General features: G+C 44.6%; 1 protein-coding gene across 2 annotated transcripts in view; it reads right to left on the bottom strand.

The window, feature by feature from the left end:
* CD34 (CD34 molecule) overlaps positions 1-22214 on the bottom strand; it is a 30154-nt gene that overhangs the window by 7168 nt on the left and 772 nt on the right. For both annotated transcript variants that reach the window (NM_001025109.2, NM_001773.3), the window contains exons 2-7: positions 11682-11864; positions 10834-11087; positions 9354-9434; positions 1326-1482; positions 1022-1074; positions 543-707 (exon numbers count right to left, since the gene is read on the bottom strand). In NM_001025109.2, coding sequence (NP_001020280.1) covers positions 543-707; positions 1022-1074; positions 1326-1482; positions 9354-9434; positions 10834-11087; positions 11682-11864 — 893 coding nt within the window. The remainder of the gene's footprint in view (positions 1-542; positions 708-1021; positions 1075-1325; positions 1483-9353; positions 9435-10833; positions 11088-11681; positions 11865-22214) is intronic.

The raw sequence follows: 22214 nt of genomic DNA on the forward strand, positions 1-22214 counted from the left end.
AGAGGCACCACACCATGCCACCGCAGCTCGGCAGCCAGCTCCCGCAGGAAAACGGGCAGTTCCAAGAAGGGTGGGATGACCTCCCCAGGGTAGGGGACAGGCCAGAGGCCAAGATTCAGACCTCAGCCTTGTCCTCCCTCATCCAGAATGGCAAATGGGGATTCTCCTTCCGTATACCTCCTTTTGAGCAAGGGGGCACCCACTGGGCATTTAACACGGTTGCAAATACAGTGTGGCTGATTAAACAGCCTGTTCTGGTGGCCCCAAGCTGAACTATCCCAGAAAACATAATGAATAGATGACACGAATCATCTGCTACCACACCGAGTAGGTGGGCTGGCACCATTACTGTCCCCTCCCCAGTTTGCTACATAATATTTTGAATCTTCCACCGATTACTGTGTGTGCACACATGCATATCTTTATGTAAGCTCACAGAAGGGCTTTTTCTAGTATTTCTCCTCCTGCTCCATGACATCCACTGAACTCCCCAGAAACCCACTATCTTCCTCATTTCCTTTACCCTGGCCCCCAGAACTGACCAGCCTTTCTCCTGTGGGGCTCCAGCTGCGGCGATTCATCAGGAAATAGCCAGTGATGCCCAAGACAGCCAGCAGGGCTCCCGAGGTGACCAGTGCAATCAGGGTCTTTTGGGAATAGCTCTGGTGGCTTGCAACATCTTGCTCAGTGAAATCTAGGATCCCCAGCTTGAAAAGAAGACAAAGAAGATACAGCCTGTCACTTGCCAAAAGTGGAGCCCAGCCCGCTCCAGCCCTCTGTGTGTGACTCAACAGTGAACAGATGCTTGAGGGCATTGACCTCAGGAATTTTTGAAATGGGATTTGAGACTGACGTCTCTTAATTCAGTCATACCCCACCATTTTTGGTTCAAGACTAGAAAGGAGAAGACTCAGAGAAGGATGGTAGGTAGAACTGGGGAAGATAATGACTTCCCCCCTTACTCCAGGGAGCCCCCCTGCCCCGGCATTCCCTCTCAGGCCCATCATCTCAGAGGACTTACCTTTTTCAGGTCAGATTGGTGCTTTTTCATAAGTTGGAGTTTGCTGGAAATTTCTAGAATTAGAAACAAGGGTTGCTAAATCTAAAGAGAAACCAGCTTATCCTGCTCCACCCTCCCATGCTGTTCTAGAAGATGCTCTGATGGCCAGGGTGGTCCATCTCGGGGGGACCGCTCCCAAAGCCAGCCAAGTCCTTCTCCCCAGCACCTGTGGTCTCTCTGGATCTAAGATGCCCCATCTCCACCCAGGATTCTCTAACCTCAGCCCTACTCCTTCCCTGTTCCCCCAGGCAGAGGTGCACCTTACCTGTTCTGTTGGCCAAGACCAGCAGTAGACACTGAGGCCTCACCTCAGACTGGGCAAGGAGCAGGGAGCATACCTGGGCCCCAGCATCAGCATCAGCCTGCTCCTCCCCACACAGCACTCGGGCCAGGCCCTCTCCCCTGTCCTTCTTAAACTCCGCCTGGGAAGACAGAGAAACATGGAGAGCAAGAGATGAAATTACTGCTCTGCCCTAAACTGCACCCAGAGTCTCTGATTACAGTCATACTCTTACCCCGTCCGCAAGAAGGATCCTTGTTTCTAAAATTCCAACAGAAAAAAAAAAAACTGCTAACTGTATATGTGCAACAACACAATAAGAAAAAAACCTAAATAATCTCCCAGGACCAAAATCCATATCTTCTAGTATCTAAGATGTTAGAGAACAAACTTAAAAAAATTGTCTCGTTGAAGCATTGCCCATGTACACATATGCAAATTAAACTCAAAAGAAATGGCCAAAAACAGAAAATATTAATAATGCAATAATAACTAAGAGAAAATATTCTGTTTCAAGATTACAGCAGTCCCCAATGATGGAAGAAAAGCCAAGGGAGGTGAGGAGGAGAGAACAAATCTATAATATACACTCAGTGGAAACCTCAGTGGCCTCCTCCCTCTTTCTACCCAAAGGAGTCTCAAAAAGTGCATTGCTCAAACTGAAATGGCATTTTTGTCTCGTCTTCCATCTCTGTTTTCCATTAAAAGCATGGAACCCAGTTTTAATGAAGTTCATAGATTTTTCTTCAGGTTGCTGACTGGGCCATCAGACCCAGGAATTTGGACTCAGAAGAAAAACTCTGATAATTCTTCAATAGTGAGTCAGAATTTATTCCAGCAGCCTCCAATCAGAGTGTCCTCCTCCCCTGAACAGGAAAGGAATTGAAACTAAGACTTTCTCTTCAGTCCGGATGGCAGATGGCAGAGAAGGAAATGCCTGAACAGCCCTGACAACTTTCCTGTTAGGGGAAAACTGCTGGGGTGTGTGACCATCATCAGAACTGGGTCTCTGTGGAGGAGAAAGCTTCCTGTTTGCGGGCAGGGCCGCTGCTTGCAACAAGGCCACAGGGTCCTCCCAGTTGGAATGGAGCCTGGGTATTTTCCCACTGCTGTGACCCAAGGCAGGAAAACCCAGGCTCCTTTGCTCCTACACAAAGCAAGGTCAAGATTGGCCTCAGGACCCAGCTGGAATTTGAAGCAGCTGAGGGAAAACAACTGGGCTTGGATAAGGCCAGGAGAGTGTGGTTAGCCAAACTCCAGGTCACAGAGACACGAGCCCAAACTGGAGCCTCAAAAAACCCCCAGGAAACAAGGCTACAGAGAAATGAGTTCTCAGGCCACTGCTGCTTCATTCCTCAGGAAAAGGAGCAATTCTGCAGGTCTCCCAGTAAGTCCTTGGATAGACGTTCTAACTCTGGAAAAATCCGTTTTTCTGAACAGCATTTGAACTAAGTAGTCTGAATGCCACACTGAACCAATCAACAGTCTCCACCTCTCTAAACCCAGTTGTCTCAGGGGAGCCTTACATGGCTTCCCCTTGAGCACCCCCGCTCCCCAGCACCGAGAGTCTGGATGAGGAGGAGGGGGTTTCTTGCCTGGATGACTCTGGGCTTCTGAAGTATCTCCAGTTGAAATAGGTCTGCTTCCCAAGAGAGGCAGAGGGACAGGGCTCCTGCAGGTTGTAAACTAGCCAAACCAAATGGCACCTTCCTCCACCTGCTGAGTGCAAGAAGCCACACCTTGACAATGTATCAAGCCCTGAATATAGGACACTGCGTGAAAGCCTCTGTGCAAGTGTCATGTGTATGTGTGTTGTATTCATGTGTCATGTGTAGGGGGGTGGGGATTGGGAGGTATCTATGAATTCCACCTTGTCAAAGCTTTCAGTTTGCATGTACGGCAATTAAAATGATGGATGCCAACCAGGCGCGGTGACTCATGCCTGTCATCCTAGCACTTTGGGAGGCTGAGGTGGGAGGATTACTTCAGCCCAGGAATTCGAGACCAGCCTGGGCAACACAGGGAAACCCTATCTCTATAAAAAATTTAGAAATTCAACCGGGTGTGGTGGCATGCACTTATAGTACCAGCTACTTGGGGGGCTGAGGTGGGAGGGTCTCTCCACCCTGAGAGGTTGAGTCCACTGTACTCCACCCTGGGTGACAGAGACCCTGGCTCAAAAATAAAGAAATAAAAAATAAAGTAACAGATGCCTATGATATCCAGGCACAGTTCTGAGTGCTTTCCATATATTAACTCATTTAGGCCTCACACGACCTACGAGATTGGTAGAGTTATTCTACTAATTTTGTAGATGAAGAAATGGAGGCGTGAAGAGACTCCAGAGGCCAGAGCTACTGCCATGGTAAGCACCATAAGAAAGGTACAACCAAAGTGCTATGGACATACTAAGGAGCGTGAGGACACGTCTGGTTAAGGTTAGCAGACACATGTCACTATAGGCCTTGAAGAATGGCTGGAGGGTGAGCAGAGGAAGCCAGTGGGGAAGAGCATTTGGAACTGAGGCCCCACCTCCAGGAAGCCCAAGATGGGGACAGCATGCATTATTCCACAACCCTCATTTCAAAGAGAATGAAGAACACTACCTTCTCCCTGGTATTCACTATCCTTCAAGACTCAACTCAGTTTCTACCTCCTCAATGAAGCTGGTCCTACCTTCAACCAGACTGGGCATCAATCCTTACTCTGCTCTTTACTGGATTCTTTGCAAGTCATGCAACTAGTCTGAGTGTCATGTTCCTCAGCTGTACACTAGGTTGTTGTGGTGACTAAATAGATATTGTATGAAAGTGTCCAGTTGGGTGCAGTGGCTCATGCCTGTAATCCCAGCACTTTGGGAGGCCGAGATGGACAAATCAGATGAGGCCAAGGGTTCGAGACCAGCCTGGCCAAAATGGTGAAACTTTGTCTCTTCTAAAAAATGCAAAAATTAGCTGGGCATGGTGGTGGGCATCTGTAATCCCAGCTACTCGGCAGGCTGAGGCACGAGAATCGCTTGAACCCAGGAGACAGAGGTTGCAGTGAACTGAGATCACAACACTACACTCTGCACTCCGGCCTGGGCAACAGAGCAAGACTCTGTCTCAAAAAAAAAAAAGTGTCCAATGTGGTGTTGAGAATCTAGTGGGCACTAGATAAATAGCAGCTGCTACTATCATTATTAATAATAGTAATACCTTATATACCATATCATCTAGAGTCTACATATTGATCATATTCTATGCATTGTTATTGTCATTTTTCTGTGACTAGATTGTAAGACTCCTAAGTGTGTGTTGGGGGGAGTGCACATTATAGCATTTACAACCCAGACTGCATGAACCGTGGCACCAAACAAAAGAACTCAGGGAATTGTTGTTCAACTTAACATCCCAACCAGTTGGCCTCCACACAGGGTCCCTCCACCCCTTGCACAGTTTCTTGGACTAGATTCAAGGGAATAATAGCGGCCAGCCTCCCACTCTGGAATCCAACCGCATCAGTGAATTGTGTTTGGGCCCCAAGAGGAGCAGGTGGATCCTGAACAAAGCACAATGCTTCTCCGGACACTTGGAATAAACATCCTCCCCCAAGAGAGGCTGTGGGCAAACATCACGGGAGAGTGGGCAGGAGGAAGACACAGCCTCACCATTTTGTTCATGAGAATCAGATTTACAAGCTCCTAACTACATCAGCTCACACATGTTTCTCTGCAAACACAATAAACCCATCTAACCTCTCTAGAGTAGCATTCTCAAACTTTGCAAAGACTCTTAACATCAAGCATTGCAATGGGGACGGAGATGGGGGTGAGGGAGGGACAGGTATTTTTCTAATGACCTTTAAGATATTTAAGATATTAAGATCCTAGAACGCTGAGATTCTAGGATCAATCATCTCCCCCAACCCCTTTTAATATAATTTTATCTATTTTGGTGTGAGTTTGACAATGCAGGTGAAAACGCTATTTTCACATAGAAAATGGAATAATGAAGGGACCTGTTTCAAGTCACCTAACAAGTGGGGGCAGCTAACGAAGGATGAGAAGTGAGATCGTTTCCAGATTGCAGGCTTTTTCCAGTAGACACACCATCTTCATAAATCCTTCATCTGTAACTTATGTTTTCCGCATGGAAACTGACCTTTAGTGCAAGCTGGAGGCAGCCTGCCTCAGATGAAGTCAATGTGAATAAGAGTAAAGTGAGCTAGCTGAGTAATTACAAACTCTGCATATAAACAGATGTGGTACTAAAGATAGGTATACAAATTGGCGGACAAAGGACTTGACTAGACTTTTCCCCAAAGAAGATATACAAATGGCCAACAAACACATGAAAGAGGCTCAACATCACTAATCATCAGGGAAATGCAAATCAAAACCACCATGAAATACCACCGCATACCCATTAGGATGGCTGCTATTTTAAAAACCCAGAAAATAACACGTGTTGATGAGGATGAGAAGAAATTGGAACCCTTGTACCCTACTGGTGGGAATGTAAAACGGTCTGGTGGTTCCTCAAAAATTCAAAAATAGAATTCCCATGTGGTCCAGCCATTTCACTTTTGGATATATCCCCAAAAGGACTCAAATCAGGTTGCCAAGGAGATATTTGTACACTTATGTTAAAAGCAGTATTATTCACATTAGCCTAAAGGGGAAAAAGCCCAAGTGTCCATCAACAGATGAATGGAGAAGCAAAACAAGGTTTACACTTACAATGGAATATCATTCATCCTTAAAAAGGAAGGAAATTCTGACACGTGCTACAACATGGTTGGACTTTAAAGACATTATACTGAGTGAAATCAACCAGTCACATAACAAGACAAACACTATGACTCTACTCATATGAGGTACCTAGAGTAGGCAAAGTCATAGGAACATAGGAACAGAAAGTTGCCAGGGTCTGGGGAGAGCAGGGAGTTGTTTCATGGGTACACAGTTTCAGTGATGGAAGATGCAGACAGTTCTAGAGATTGGTTGTACAATAATGTGAACGTACTTACTACTACTCAATGGTACCCTTAAAAGTGGTTAAGGTGATGACTTATGTTATGTATATTTTACCACAATTAAAAATATTTTGGTGGGTTTCTCTGGACAAATGGGTGTAGCATAATAGTATAAAGTAATCTTACATTTTGGAAACTATTTGGGGAACCACAACCACAAAAACTAAATTAAGCTGACACTGCTGCCAAAAGAATGACAGTTAGACTCAGGAAGACACATCCTACTAATGAGGGTGCTGAGATATGGTAAAAGGTGTTTGAGATGAGAGTGGTATCACCTTCCCTTCCCCTGGCTGCCTAGAGATGATGGCTGGGGAGCAAAAAAAAAAGAGTGATTGGGATAGACATGTCTACAGAATGCACATACAGAAGACACGCCTACAGAATCCACATAGGGTGAGCTAACATATTGGTACTCACTATGTGTCAGTGCAGAATGAGTGTCTGGATAGCTAGACTCATGCACATATATTCCTGTTATGGGCATATATTAGATGAGGAGCATACCAACATACATCAAGGATGTGATGCTCGGGGAAACCAAATCCTTCCTGCTCTTCACCAGGGTATTAGGTAGGGCCTGAGGCTCCCAACATTAGAACCAATACCTTAAGGCCCTCTGACACCGAAAGTACAAATCCAACCTAAGGAAAATTAGGAGGCTCTGCAGCATTCGCAGCTTTTGGAACAGATTGTTTATCAGACAAGCAGGGAGTAGGGACCAAGGAAAGGTCATCTTGGACATAATCGGGAGCTGTGGCTAAACATTTTGGAACAGGATAGCAAGCTGAGGATAAATTACCTTGGGGAGTAGCAGGAGGCTTTGCCGCATGGGGGCTGAGGATGAGGAGCCCTCAGGAAGAAAGGGGATCAACACTGGTGGAGAGACCAGGGGAACAAAAGCACTCATATGAGCTGCCACAGAGTTGCTTTATGAAGGGGCAGTGTGGATGGAAGTCTTCTTTGGCATAGGAACTGGAGGGGAGCTGCTCTCTTTTCACATCCCCACTCACAGATACTACCTCAATCTTAGAGGAACATGCAGAGACCTTCTCAGCTGTGGCACGAAGTAGGCCAGACAGCAAAGACCACAGCAGAGTTAGGAGGAATTATTTCTAAAAGAGCAGTAAGTTTCTGGCACTTTTCTCATACAGTGACCCAAGTTACATGTGAGCTTTGAAGAGCAACAGAAAGGCAAAGGCTCTGCAGTTAACTCTAAATTCCAGGCACAAAGAATTAGCATTCTGGCACATACCTGTGTGATACACAGCAAAATGTATGCTCCACCAAGTCGATGGGGTTGCAGGGGGAAAGATCGTCATTTTCCTTGGCTACAACTAGCAAAGAACTTGACAATTTTTTTTCTAATGAGTTGAGTTGAAAATCAGCATCAGAAACATGCTGCATGTTACTTGTACATTGTATGTTCATGTTTAAGTTAACTATTTTGCAGACTGCATTTAGTTATTCTACTATGCAAACTCATGTCTTCACTATTTCTGTTGTTTTTAGATGTCCTAAGTTAAATTCTTTCAGGTATAATTTTTACAAATTTGTAAGTCAGAGAGACCCAACTGATGATCGTAGTAAAACTACCGAGTTAGAATGGAAAAAATAAGTAATTTAAGCCCTCTACAGGCTGCGATCTTTCCAGTCTATGCATGCCAGCACATCACATATGTGATTCCCTTAGATGGATCCCCAACTTGTAAGAAAATGTTTTCTTCTGTAAGTAAATACCACTCTTTCCTTCACCTCATCCTTCCTCCAGAGCCATGTTACTGTTAGGAAATTAGATTTACTGAAACAAAGCAAGGTCTGCCAGAATCATTTAAAATAACACAATTCCCTGTACATTCTTTCCAATGCAGTAAGACATGAAACTGAAACAAGAGGCATAACTACTAAACAGGAGGAGAAAAGCAATATATTGTAGTAGATAACAAGATAGCTTACCTTAAAATTGAAAGGAATCAACTAAAAAGCTCCTAGAATCAATAGGCAAATTCAAGAAACTGGCCAAACCCAAAATAATTGTTCAAAACTCTATTAACTTTTTAATCTATCAGTGACAATCAATTTGAATATATAGTGGGAGATCTATGTGACAAATAGGCCTATGACATCCATCAAATCTAGAGAAAAAAGCTAAAGAAACAAGATGCTGAGAGATGCAAAAGAAAACCAGAAAAAATGAAGAAATTTTAGAGCAATTACAATTCAAATTTTAAAGCATTTTTTTTGCATTTTTTTCAAAAAGAAAAAAATAATTTACATTTTTTACAGTGTAATAAAAAAAGATCTGCCTGACTGGATATTACAAATACTGTAGTAAAAACATACAATAATTTTGAAAATTTAAAATAGGCAAAAGTACAGACAAACTGAACAAATAAAATATGTCTGAAGAGTATGCCCTAAGACATATAAAAACTTAATATAAGCTAAAGGATACATCCCATGCAACAGAAGAGGGAGTCATTCAACAAATAATGTTAGGAAAAACGGTTACATGGAAAATATAACATTACAGCAAAATAAATTCTATATGGATTAAAGAGTTACGTGTAAATATTTAATAATAATAAATGAAATAATAAATGAACTGACATTTTAGGTGACTAGTTTATATCTGGTGAGTGAGAAGGACTTTCTTAACCAAAAAGCAACTTAAATCTGACTCTCTCAGATTTAAAAGTACTACAGAGGAGGGGAAAATTTAAAAAGTACTATAGAGGAGGGGGAAAAAGTACTATAGAGGATGGAAAAATAACAAAATTTATTAATAATTAAAATTGTTATTGTCTTTTTTGCCCACCAGATGGGGCCTCTTACTCCCTAAACAGAAAGCTCAGTATTAAAGGCAGGCTGACCAAGCTAAACTCCCCGGACCCCTACTCAAATCCAGTGCAATCCAAGAAGGTTTAAGGGTGTTCAGAAGGGATGGAGGAAAGGGACAGGGGCGGGAGGAAGAGGTTGGGTGGGGGGTTGACTTACACAGCTGGAGGTCTTATTTTGCTCCAGGCAGATGCCCTGAGTCAATTTCACTTCTCTGATGCCTGAACATTTGATTTCTGCCTGTATTAAAACAAAAACAATAACAAAAACAAAGTAAATAAGCCAGTATCTTTGCTCCTCATTTCTTTCCCAACTTTTTCCAGTTTGCTTTCTGTGAGGTGCTCTCTTAGGAGGTTTTAAGGAAAAGGACATTTAAAATTTGTCAGGGGACTAGAGATTTCTAATAGTCATACTCTCGTCTATTTCATATCTATCCTCATCAGATGACAAAACTTTTGTTACTAGCCTGGGCTTACTGGCAAGCAGCTATTTGCAACCTTGGTAAACACTGGCTTGGATGGTGCAGGACTGGGAGAGGGGAGGATCTTTTCCCATTTGGGTTGTTTTCTCTCCAGTCAATCACAAACTTGCAGGAAGGCCATATAGGCAAACAGGGATAATGGGGTGGACCAGCAGATGCTGGGGTACCTGTTTTTTCTCCTGGCCTCCAGGACTCTCCAAATTCCCATTTTGGCTCTTTTATTTATTTATTTATTTATTTATTTATTTATTTATTTTGAGATCGAGTCTTGCCCAGGTTAGAGTTCAGTGGCATGATCTTGGCTCACTGCAACCTCCACCTCCCTGGTTCAAGTGATTCTCTTGCCTCAGCCTCCTGGGTAGCTGGGACTACAGGTGCATGACCACACCCAGCTAATTTTTGTATGTTTTGGTAGAGACGGGGTTTCACCATGTTGCCCGGGCTGGTCTTGAACTCCTGACCTCAAGTGATCTGCCCACTTCAGGCTCCCAAAGTGTTGGGATTACAGGCATGAGCCACCACGCCTGGCCCTGGCTCCTTTAAAAACAGAAAGCAGAAAGATCCCTCGGGCATATCTCATGACTGAGGCCCTCATATTTTCTGTCCTGCATGCTGAAAGCTGTTGACAGTCATAGGCCCTAAGGCTGAGAAGGCCAGGCTGAGCTCACCATCCCTGGTCTGCCCAGTTCCTGCCATTGCCAATGCCCCCCTTTACTGCCTCTCTGTGCCTGGCACAACCACCAAACCCTCTCATGTAGAGGAAATGTTATTTGTCCTAACCATTGTGGGAGAAGCAGCCCCAGCAAATAAGCAATAGTTGCCAAATATTCCCAAAGGGAAATGGTGTCCTGGTCAAAGCCCCACTGATAGGTACTAGAAAGAACCAGAGGATTGGATGGATCTCTGAGAATCCCGTTTACTCTCTATTCCCTAAAATGCAATACCCAAAGCCTGGATGGGCCTTACCACCTAACTCTACCCCTTTCCTCCTCTTTCTACTTCTCCCAGCAATATTTAAACTGTGTATTTCCGTGCTGATTCCCACATGACCCAAATCCCACTGGCAGGGATGAGGAGAGGGGTGGAGGGAAAGAAACAGCTTGCCTGCATACATATGAAGTGAGGGGCAATCTGCCATTTTTGGCCCAATTCACCCACCTTGATGTCACTTAGGATAGGAGAAGATGATGTATAGGGTTTAGTGGGAGATGTTGCAAGGCTAGTGCTAGTGGTTGAAAGGTCTGAAACATTTCCAGGTGACAGGCTAGGCTTCAAGGTTGTCTCTGGAGTTGAAACGTTGGCTGGGGTGGTGAACACTGTGCTGATTACAGAGGTCTGTGACTGGACAGAAGAGTTTGTGTTTCCATAAACTGAGGTTATCACAGAGGTAGATGTGAATTTGACTGTCGTTTCTGGAAGAGACCAAAACATGGGTGTGCATGTGTGCATGTGCTCATAGATACACAAAATCTCAGGTCATGATATGGGCATGCACTTCAACACAGAAAAGGGAGTTTGGGGAGTTAACAGTTACTTCGTGTCCCATCCCTGACCAAACTCATTTCAAGCTGTTGGAACAAGAGCTAGAATCTAGAATGTATTAGAGGTGTCCTGAAACTGAAATAGATGCTGGTCTACCTTAGAGAAGCCAAAGACCCCCAGTTTGGACCTGTACCCACCTTCTTTCCTTTAGAAGAGATCGGAGATCTCTATTGAGTCTTCTGATCCTTATTTTATCACTAAGCTAGACTCAGCATGAGAGAAGGGGTATGGAGGCATTACTGATCAGGATCAGCTCCCAAGACATGGGCCTGAGAAAACTGTCACTGAAGGAAGAATTATCTAGAACTTACTTCAGGGCACCCTAAGCATGATACTCAAGTCATTAATACTAGGGACTTGTATAATTTCCTCTGTGGAGAGGGGAGCGGTCTGAAAACATCCTAAATGCTTTACCCAAGCATCACCAGCATCTCTCCGGGATCTGACACAAATGCTGTTTTTACCTGTGATGTTTGTTGTGGCCTCATTGCCATGTTGAGACACAGGGTGCAGGCTGGTACTTCCAAGGGTACTAGGTGTTGTAGTTTCTTGGTAGGATACATTTGTAGAAACATTTGAAAATGTTCCCTGGGTAGGTAACTCTGGGGTAGCAGTACCGTTGTTGTCAAGACTCATGAACCCAGAAGCTATAGGGAAACGAGGAGGAAGAATCAGAACCTAAAGATATCAGCCTGGTGATATCACCTGATGCAATTTCCTGACTTCAGGTAGAATTCGTCTAGAACATTCCCTGCTGCCCCTTGTTGGCAGCAACAAGAACATACTCCTGGACAGTGGATTAATTTCCCACTACCAAATTTGCCCTGAGGACATAGGGAAGGAAAGATTTATATGCATACAAATGTCTCATACAGTATTATTTATAGGAGGGAAACGTGAACAACTAAATGAATTATGATAGGATAAGTGATATATGCACTTAATATACCATAATCATTATATAATCATATAAACAAACATTAGAAAGAAAAAAATTATAAAAACTGTAGCAACGTGGAACTATGAGGTGATGTTCATAGTATGTTTAGTTACATACTAAAATATAAAATTACACCTGCATAAATATTGCAAAGATCTAATGTGTGCAAAAGGTCATGCTTCTTTTTTCTTTTCACTGTATCCTCTTTTTTGGTCACTCTCCATCCAGTATACTAACTCTTGGAATAATCACTAGACTCACTGTCTCTATGCGATCCCCTTAAAAATCTATACTTCTCAGACTTCCCATTCCCATACTCCCCTCATCCTTTTGCTCATGGCCTTCAAACCCATTCGCCTTTCCTTTTCTTCTTTTAGCATGCTCTGACCTAGGAATTCAGCTAATGAACCAGGGAACACAAGGTCTGGTTTCTCATCAATGTAGTGGGAAGGTAGACAAGCTTTGTTCTGGCTCTTCCAATAACTAACCATGTAATTTAATGCATGTATGTATCTCAGCTCTCTTACCTCTTAAGTAAGGGTCTTTTCTGGCTACCTTACATGGATTGCTGGGATAAACAATGAGATAACAAATGCTAAGTTATTATAGTATTATAGTATAATGTTTTGGATCTCATTTTTCTCTGAAGATCTTCATGAGTGTCTTTGCACATCTCTTCTGTATATCCTGGGATACATACTTTTTTTTTTTTTTTTTTAAGACAGGGTCTTGCTCTGTCATCACAGCACCCAGGCTAGAATGCAGTGGTGAGATCATAGCTCACTGTAACCTTAAGCTCCTGGCCTCAAGTGATCCTCCTGTCTTGGCCTCCCAAAGCTCTGGGATTACAGATGTTACTCACCATTCCCAGTCAGTATCCTCATTAGACACAGGAAGGAGAAGCTTCTTGACTGAACCCTATGCCTCAAAGAGCCCACACCCTGTCCTGCTTCCTGTGAGGACCAATCAGGATGTACCCTCTCTTCTAGGTCATACTGTGGGGACCAGAAGTCCTAGCACTTCTTGATCAAATGGCACTTTGCTCACATCCACGATGGGCCGCTTCTCCCAGTCCATCCTGCTAAGGGGAACTGCAGCACAAGGGTGTACACCCCCAAGGCCCAGTGGTGGCCAAATGATGACTGCTTGCAGGGAGAAGAGTTAGTGCTTAGTGCTTAAGCCTGTGGGTGGGGTGTCCCAGGCACACATGCAATTGCCTTGCAATGTGAGCCAGAGTCATGGGTAGAAAGTAGATGAAGGGAAGTGGGCTGGGGCCAGGAGCCATCTCTTCCTGCTAAGCTGCACTGTGGCAGTGAATTCCAAGAATCTGAGCATCCCAAATTGAAACTTGGCCTTCCAGGTGATCACGAAGATATGTTTGTCAAGGTAAGAGGATAGAAGATATTTTATTAGTTAGTTGGCCTGACTTACAACCTTGAAATGTTTAGAAATATAGTATGTAGGCCTCTGTTGTACTCTTGCCTTGGGCCTTGTAAATGTTAAGGGTGAACTTGGTATCCAGAGTTCATAAAGGCAGTTGCATCTTCAAGGAAGAGCCTCTGAGGGTCCCAGGCCACCCTAAAGCTTGTCTCTAAATTTTCCTGATTGGGATCTAGATCTGTACTTTTCAGCGATTTCCAGGTAAACAGCAAGGTAGAATGACATCTCTTGTTTCCCTCAGGATCAAGAGGGAAGTTAGACTTTTGGCTTCACGGCCATCAACCTGGGGCCAAGAACGGTTTCCCTAAAGGTGATGACAAGGGTTTCACTCTCTCATATCTGCTTCCTTCCACAACCTGCTGCAAGCAGATTGCTATTAATGGTGACTGCAGCAATCGTGTCTTACTGTTATGTGTCAGGTAAGCAGTGGGGAGAAGGAATATCACTATCTCTGTCTTAGAGATGAAGAGCCTGAATCACCAAGGTGCTGCCCAAAAGGAAGGCCATAGTTCATGAAGGGAAGCAGCAATGGAACACTGACGTTTAGCTGACTCTTGAGTAGATGCAACAAGGAGGTTAGGCTGGGTCTAAACTGCCAAAAAATCGGAATTTATTCCCCACATCTCTGTAGAGAAAAGGATGGGCTCCCATCTGGCTTAAACAGGAGGTGGGTTGATCAAAATAAATTGATGCAGAAGCCAATCCAGGCTTCTTTCCTGTTTAGATGGGACCCTCTCACCACTCTGACTTTAAGGTCAGATTCATCTGAATTCATCCAAGGGGGCAGTATTCAGACACTGAATTAAAGGATCACCTTCTCAAGACACCATTCCAAGACTCCTCTTCTTGCCTGCTCTCTTCCTCTTCGCCCCCAGCATACTGATTACTGGGGACCCCATCTGGTCCACCCTGGCCCAGCCCTTTTCTCTCTCCAGAGGAAGCTGGGCCTGACTGAGATGATGTCATGCTTTTGAATCCCCTCCCCCGAAGGGCCTCCTTCACCTAGACAAACACTTTTGAACTTTTCCAGATGTGGAGTGAGACCTGCTGCTAGTTCTGAGGACAGAGGTGCCTGTTCCAGAAGAGCAAAGCAACTCTGGACCCAAGCCAGCTACTGACCCACTGGGGCCAGGCTCGCAGCTGCAGCAGCCCCTCCACCCACCACCAGGCCGAGCGCTGTGGAATGAGTAGCAGGATCCACCTGCAAATGAGAAAGGGACCCCAACTTCAGAGTCAGGGCTCTGACCCCAGGGTGAGCAGAGCACCCTCTGAGACACCAGGGGGACAGGACAAGTGGGAGGGCAGAAAGACCAAACTGAGTGACTGGAAATGCCTGAGCTGGTGCAGAGCAAGGGGACACCTTAGCCAGGGGCCTGGAGCCAATCCTGGCATAAACACTGCGGCACAGCAGGGAGAGTGCATCTTTTAGGTTCACAGTCTCTAGAGCCCTGGAGGAATGACATTTATGAGAGTCAAGACTGACCACAGATCTCTTTTTATCCTGTCTTCCCACACACATCCATGGCATTAAACCATCAAACACTGACCTTTCTTTATCTGACCTTCTGACTCCCAACTCTGTAGGGGAGTAGCAGGAGCCTACCAGTCAGTGAGAGCTTGTCACATCCTAAGAGACAATTGATGAAACCTCCACTCTTTTTCATTCTAGATGGGAGGAACGGTCCCTACCCACAAGGCTACAAGAATTATAGTACAATTTAAAGTTGAATAAAAAGCTCTCTTCTGTTGTTTACTTCTCAGTCCATCCTTATTAACTGTGTTTCCCTAGGGACTCCATTTGACCCTTAGTTACTCTAGTTGATCTCAACTTATGAACTGGGAGCAAGGGAGGAGACAAGGTCTCAAGAAATTAGTAAAATGAGGATTCTAAGAGATGTCACAAAATTCATGTAGTAAAAGTCATGCACTGAACTTTCAGGTACTTCTTCAGAGTCAATTATTCTTGTTTTACACATAATTCTAATAACCCTGGTTATCTGATATCCTAGCTAAAGTTGAAACGTAGGAAGAGCCTATTAGAAGCAAATAATAAGGAGAAGCAACAGCTGAAAACTAAGAAACAGAAATAAATGAAAAGCAGACATAAGTATGAAAACTCACACCAGTTTTCTTGAATCATTTATGGTAGGAGTGAATAGGTTAGATATCTATACCTTAATAAGCATTAATGATGTCACTGAGTTGCAACATAGCCACGACATGTTCATGATACATCTGAGTCATAAAGTCCTTTTCGGGGGGGTATTCTAAGAAAGCAAAGACATGTGCAATACATTTTGAAAATATTTCTACCTGCCACTAGTAAATTGAAGACTCTTTTGTTCTTTAAAGTGAGTTTGCAAATCCTCAGCGATCCAGAAAGCTCTGCTACCAAAATAACTAAATCCCCATATTTTAAGAGACTGAGTTTTCCTATACTTGGTCTTGCTTTTCACAGCCCTCCTTAGTTTTTTCCTGGTGCTGTTTCCTGATCTCCTAGCCTGCCAGTCTTATTTTGCCCATGCTTTCATATTCTAGCACCTGGATCAAGAGGAGTATCTCGAAGGAGTTCCTGGGAATCTTAGTCCATAGAGTTACAGAACTAGGATGAAGGGACATGCCAGCCTCTGCCAGGAAGTAGGCCGTTGGGAGCCACAGACTGTATCACCAGGAAGGCGGTATAGCCCAGAGACAAAGAGCTCAGGCTCTGCAGCCAGACAGGCCACATTCAAAGGCTTCTTTACCATGTTTTAGCTGTGGTTTGGGAAGTTACTTCAACTCTGTAAACCTCACCTGTAAAACAGAGATAAAAGTAGTCCCTATGTCTTAGCTGTTTTGAGGAACAAAGGAGCTAAGAAGTAGAAGCAGTTATCCTGTCTGGTAAAAGTTCAAGAAATAGTGGATATCTTTTGTTTTAGGCCCCTTCCTTCTGCTTCTCAGTGGGCATGAGATACTTATTTCTGTGACTCATCTGCCACAAAATCATATATGCTGCTTCCTCAGGATAGGTCTAACTGTCACCTCAGTAAGAATATAAACTTCTAAAGTGCTGGAGCCATTCTTATTCTTATGTGTTTTACTCCTGGTGCTTAGCACAATCCTTGGAGTTTAGGAAAAGCAATAGGATTGGAGGACAACTGTGGCAGGTGTGTTCCTGCCAGCTACCTCTAGTCATGGCAGTCTTGTTCTCATGTTATATTTTAAGGGGGAATTAATTAAATTGGGGAGTGTTCATGTGAAGATAACCAGGATTAGGAGAGTTCTAGAAACCAAGTCATATTGTTGAGGGTCTAGTGTTATTTCATCTAGATGGGGGGTTGGCAAACTATGGCCAGTGAACCTAACCTGACTCAGGGGTTGTGTTTGTATGGTCAGTCAGTAAAGAATGGCTTTTACATTCCTTTCTTTCTTTTTTTCTTGAGACAGTCTCACTCTGTTGCCCAGGCTGGAGTGCAGTGGCACGATCTTGGCTGGCTGCAACCACTGCCTCCCAGGTTCAAGACATTCTCCTGCCTCAGCCTCCCAAGTAGCTGAGACTACAGGCATGTGCCACCATGCCCGGCTAATTTTTGTATTTTTAGTAGAGACGGGGTTTAGCCATATTGGCCAAGCTGGTCTCAAACTCCTGACCTCAGGTGATCTGCCTGCCTCGGCCTCCCGAAGTGCTGGGATTGCAGGCATGAGCCACCGTGCGTGGCCGGCTTTTACATTTCTAAAAGTGTCGTAAGATAAGACAAAGTAGACCATCCATCAGAAACCATATATGGCCCCTAAAGCCTACAATATTTACTCTCTGGCCCTTTATAGAAAAAGTTTGCTGACCCCTGATATGGAAAAGAAGAATTTGGGGAGGAAAAATAAATAACTTTCTTTAAGATGCATGTTATTTACACTGGTTGAGCACCCCTAATCTGAAAATCAGAAATTCTAAAATACTCCAAAATACGAAACTTTTTGAGTGCCAACATGATGCCGCAAGTGGAAGATTCCACACCTGACCTCATGTGACAGGTCACAGTCAAAACACAGTCAACACTTTGTTTCATCCACAAGTTTATTAAAAATATTGTCTAAAATTATCTTCAGGCTATGTATATAAGGTATACAGGAAACACAAATTCATGCTTAGACTTGGGTCCTATTGCTGAGACATCTCATTATGTTTACACAGATATTCCAAAATCTGAAAAAATCTGAAATTTGAAACACTTCTGGTCCTAAGCATTTTGGATAAGGGATACATTCATTCTGTGTATTCATTCTCATTTTTCTGCAGTGCCAGTGATGTGCAAAGGATCTCGCTCAGTGCTGTGGAGAGTACAAAATGAGAGCTGGATCTCTTTCCTCCATTAGGTGTTAGTGTCATTGTCATTTAAATCAATCCCTCAAGGAGTTTGTAATCTAGTGGGGCCCACTAGAAACATCTTCAGGTATTGTCATGAAGGACCAGATTAAATCTGTACCAGCCCAAAGAATAGAATTAGAACTAATGATTAGAAGTTATGGGAAGGCCAATTTCACTGCAATCCAAGGAAAAAGTGTAAAATGATGTAGCTATTTATAAGAATGAAATGAGCCACTTTGGGAGACAAGTGATCCATCCATGCTTCCTGCAAACACTCAGGAGGCATCCGTGTTAGGGGGCTGTCCAACTCTGAGGCCTACCATGAATTTCAGTCATCCTAGACTAGAACAAGGGACTGAGCAGATGCCTTCTTAAGCTTCAAAGGCTAAGCTAAGGTGTGAGTATATATAAACCAAGGGTCTGTGGCCTGAGGGTTCCCAGTGTACCGAGATTTCTGTTTTATATTCAAATAGCATGTCTTGGCCAGACACCATGGCTCACGCCTGTAATCCCAACATTTTGGGAGGCCGATGTGGGTGGATCATCTGAAGTCAGGAGTTCGAGACCAGCCTGACCAATATAGAGAAAACCCGTCTCTACTAAAAATACAAAATTAGCTGGGCATGGTGGCGCATGCCTGTAATCCCAGCTACTTAGGAGGCTGAGGAAGGAGAACTGCTTGAACCTGGGAGGCAGAGGTTGCGGTGATCCGAGATCACACCATTGTACTCCAGCCTGAGCAACAAGAGAGAAACTTCTTCTCAAATAAATAAATAAATAAATAAATAAATAAAATAGCATGTCTTGGACCCCATCCACTTACTGTGGAACCCTAATTATTTTGAAGATTCTCTGGGCACCTACATTTCTCCCTGTCACCTCTTCCTCCATTTTACCAGCACCACAGACTCCTGGGTTGTGGCTCCATGGCTCAATGGCTCCCTGTCCGCACTAGTATACCACTTCACCGTAAGTTAGCCAAGGTAAAGTAAGTTACTTTACCCTCCCCAGAGAGCCACTAACACAAGGCTAGTGTGTGTAGCCAGTATTTACTGAAAGGTTGAGGGCATGGAACGAGATTACAGGGCAGCCCAGGGGAGACAATGGCATAACCCTGAAATATTAGACATTACTGTGCTAATGAAGCCATGTATTAAAAAAAAATTTCCTCCCAGGTCTTTTCCATCCTCCACCCACCACTGTCCTGCTATGACTCCAGGCACCTCTCCACCCTTTATATGCTCTTCCTGGGCTCTGGAGTCCTATCAGCCTTGTGTCTCTTGTGCCCACCTAAACACAAGGCTTCACTTCATTTTATCATGCTCAGCAATTCAGCCTCCTGCCTACCTTTGCTCATCCAGGATTGTCTGGGGTTCTAGGCTTTGTCACTCAAAGACCTCTTAAGACATTTTCTTAAATCAGCTGCCTAGGGATGCCACTCCTCTCTAAGAAGTATCAGTTTGATTTCATTTTTCCAAATAAAGAAGAAGCCTACTTCCCAATTAAGCCCAAAGGCCTTTTCCGTTGCATCTGAAGGGAAGTAACTCATTCCGACGGACTCCAAGAGCACAGGTACTAAGAAGTACACCTTTATATGCATCCCTATTTGTTTGTCTCTCCATCTTTCCAACATGCACGCATCTTTCTCCTTAGCACAACGTCCAGCTCTGGGACTAAAAGTCATAGATAATATGTTTTCATTTATTAGCTAAGGAGGGAAGAGAATGTTCTCATTAGAGAAGTCCAAGCCCACAAAAATATGGAATTCTCACAGCCCTGGCGACTGTGAGAATTTTCTTCTGGAGGGTGGTGTTGTGTTCTTTTTCCATACCTTCTTATTTTTAATTCTCCACACTGCAAGCCATTTAGTTAGATCAACCAAAGTCAATGAGAGAGGGAGGCCCAAGTACCTGAGAGTGGAGTTGGGTAACCATCCAGCCCTGAAAGTAAACCCAGGCCCTCCAGCTCAGGGTCTAAAGGAAATCAGGCAATGAGACCAACGGTAAGAAGTGGAATTTGTTCCTCATTTTCATTTGTTTTCGTAGGACTCTGCAGCTGAGTTTATCTGCTGCAGTTTGGCACTTCTTGCCCTAAGCTTTTTGAGACAAAGATTGCGAAGGAAGGAGATGAGGACAAGGGAATGAGGAGGCCCAGGAGGTGGAGCCAAAGGGATAAGAAAAAGAGGCCCCAGGCCCCTGTGTGTTTTATCAGCCGAACAGAAATGCTGCTGAAGACATGCATCTGCAAAGGTGGTGCCAACTGGGTTGGGTCTACAAGTGCGGAGCACTGGGGACCACTGAATTAGTCAGAGGTCCCCAAGCCTGCTCCTCCTCTGTCGCCATATGGCAGAGATTCAAAGGGTGGAGTCCTCTCCCCTCTGGAAAATAGCTGATAAAATTCTTTTCCCTTTTATTTTTCCCCTCTTACATGTAGCCCTGGACAGGATATGGGTGTGGGGTCAGCAGGCACGAAGGACCCAAAGGAAGAAGAGGAATGTGACGGGGAGGGCCTGGGGGTGTTGTTAGAGTGAGGATAGGGACAGGCCTTGGAAAGCTTGGAGGAAATAGATACCCTGAGCCTGACAAAGGGGTTCCCTAATTACCTGAAAGGCTTCCTGCTCCAGCCAGCACTCTGGCAGTGCTGCCTGGTGGCCCTTGAGCCCCTTACCCTGACTCTGCTCTGTGATCTCCCCCACTTCCAACAAAGACAGCCCACTTCTGGTTAGTTGCAGTGCCTATGCACATGCCACCTTCTCAAAGGGACAGAAAAAAAGAACTTCCCAAAACAAGCTCTTTGTTGGGGTAAATGATGAGAAAACAAACCACAGAAATCCCCTCTACCCTAAATTTTACAATAATAATAGCATTTCTGCAATGGCCCTATGGTAGCATTTCAAGGTACACTCAGTTATCTCATTTATCCCACAATGTATCCCAGGACTGAAAATGACTCCTAGTATTAACAAAACAAAACAAATCCAAGCAAAAACCCTAGAAAGCTCTTGGGAAGGGCATAAAACTACAATTGGCTCAAGTAGTCTGGCAAGGCTGGGAATGGGGCCTTGTGCCTCATCCCTCCCCACCAAAAGCTGGGATATTCTCAGCATATCAGTCCAAAGTTTTGCCAAGGTTGTGTTGCTCCCCCAACCCCAACCTCGGCAGGCCAAGGCGAGACTGGCACTTACCAGCTGAGGAAATAAGAAAAGGGTGGACCTCATTCGGCTGAGGACCAGGTCATCACAAGCTGTGTAGCCAAAGGAGAATGGAGCATCTGATTGGAATCTGCACCACTGGCCAACTCACCCCTGTTTTTTTGTTTTTTGTTTTTTGTTTGTTTGTTTGTTTTGAGAAGGAGTCTCGCTCTGTCTCCCAGGCTGGAGTGCAGTGCCAGGATCTTGGCTCGCTGCAACCTCCGCCTCCTGGGTTCAAGGGATTCTCCTGCCTCAGCCTCCCGAGTAGCTGGGACTATAGGGGTGTGCCACCATGCCCAGCTAATTTTTGTAATTTTAGTAGAGATGGGGTTTCACCATGTTGGCCAGGATGGTCTCGATCTCTTGACCTCATGATCTGCCTGCCTCGGCCTCCCAAAGTGCTGGGATTGCAAGCGTGAGCCACTGCGCCCGGCCGACTCACTCCTGTTATGAGGGCCTAGTCTAGCACCCACTCTAGAATTTTGAAACCTCATTGATAGCTTTTCCTTGCCCCAAAGCACACATCCAGGACTGCCAAACAGGGCAACCCAAAACTTCTCTCAGAGCTTCCTCCAGCCCAGGGGCAGCTGTCCCCAGCTGGGCGGACCCAAAGATGGACAACAGAGGAGACTGGGAACAAAGAGGTCTAGTCCAGGTCACTCTGCAGGGCCACAGTGGGTGGCCCTTAGGATGTAGTGAGAGTACAGAATTGGGAGCCCTAGAGTGCTGTAAGCAAAAGGGAGAGCAATGTACAAAGTTTCAAAAGTTTCAAACCTTCCAAGTGCAAAGAGATGAGGTGGAGAATGTCATTCCCCAAGGAAAGTAATCGAGTATAAATATTTACCGGGTGCCTATTTTTTTTTTAACCGAAGTGAGAGCAAGACCTTAAGAGTAAGGATATGTGTAGGTGAGTGGGGGCAGTGTTCTAACCCATCCACTAGCTTTAGAACTTGGAGCAGGGGCAGAGGAAGAAAACTCCAAAAGGTGACAAGTTTTGAAATTTGTGCAGGGGTGACGGTTTTTGGTAAGGCGAGCGAGGCTGGGCGCAGAGCAAATTCTGTCTACTTCTACCTCCTCCGCGG

The sequence above is a fragment of the Homo sapiens genome, chromosome 1 (assembly GCF_000001405.40).
Source record: "Homo sapiens chromosome 1, GRCh38.p14 Primary Assembly".
Lineage (NCBI taxonomy): Eukaryota > Metazoa > Chordata > Mammalia > Primates > Hominidae > Homo > Homo sapiens.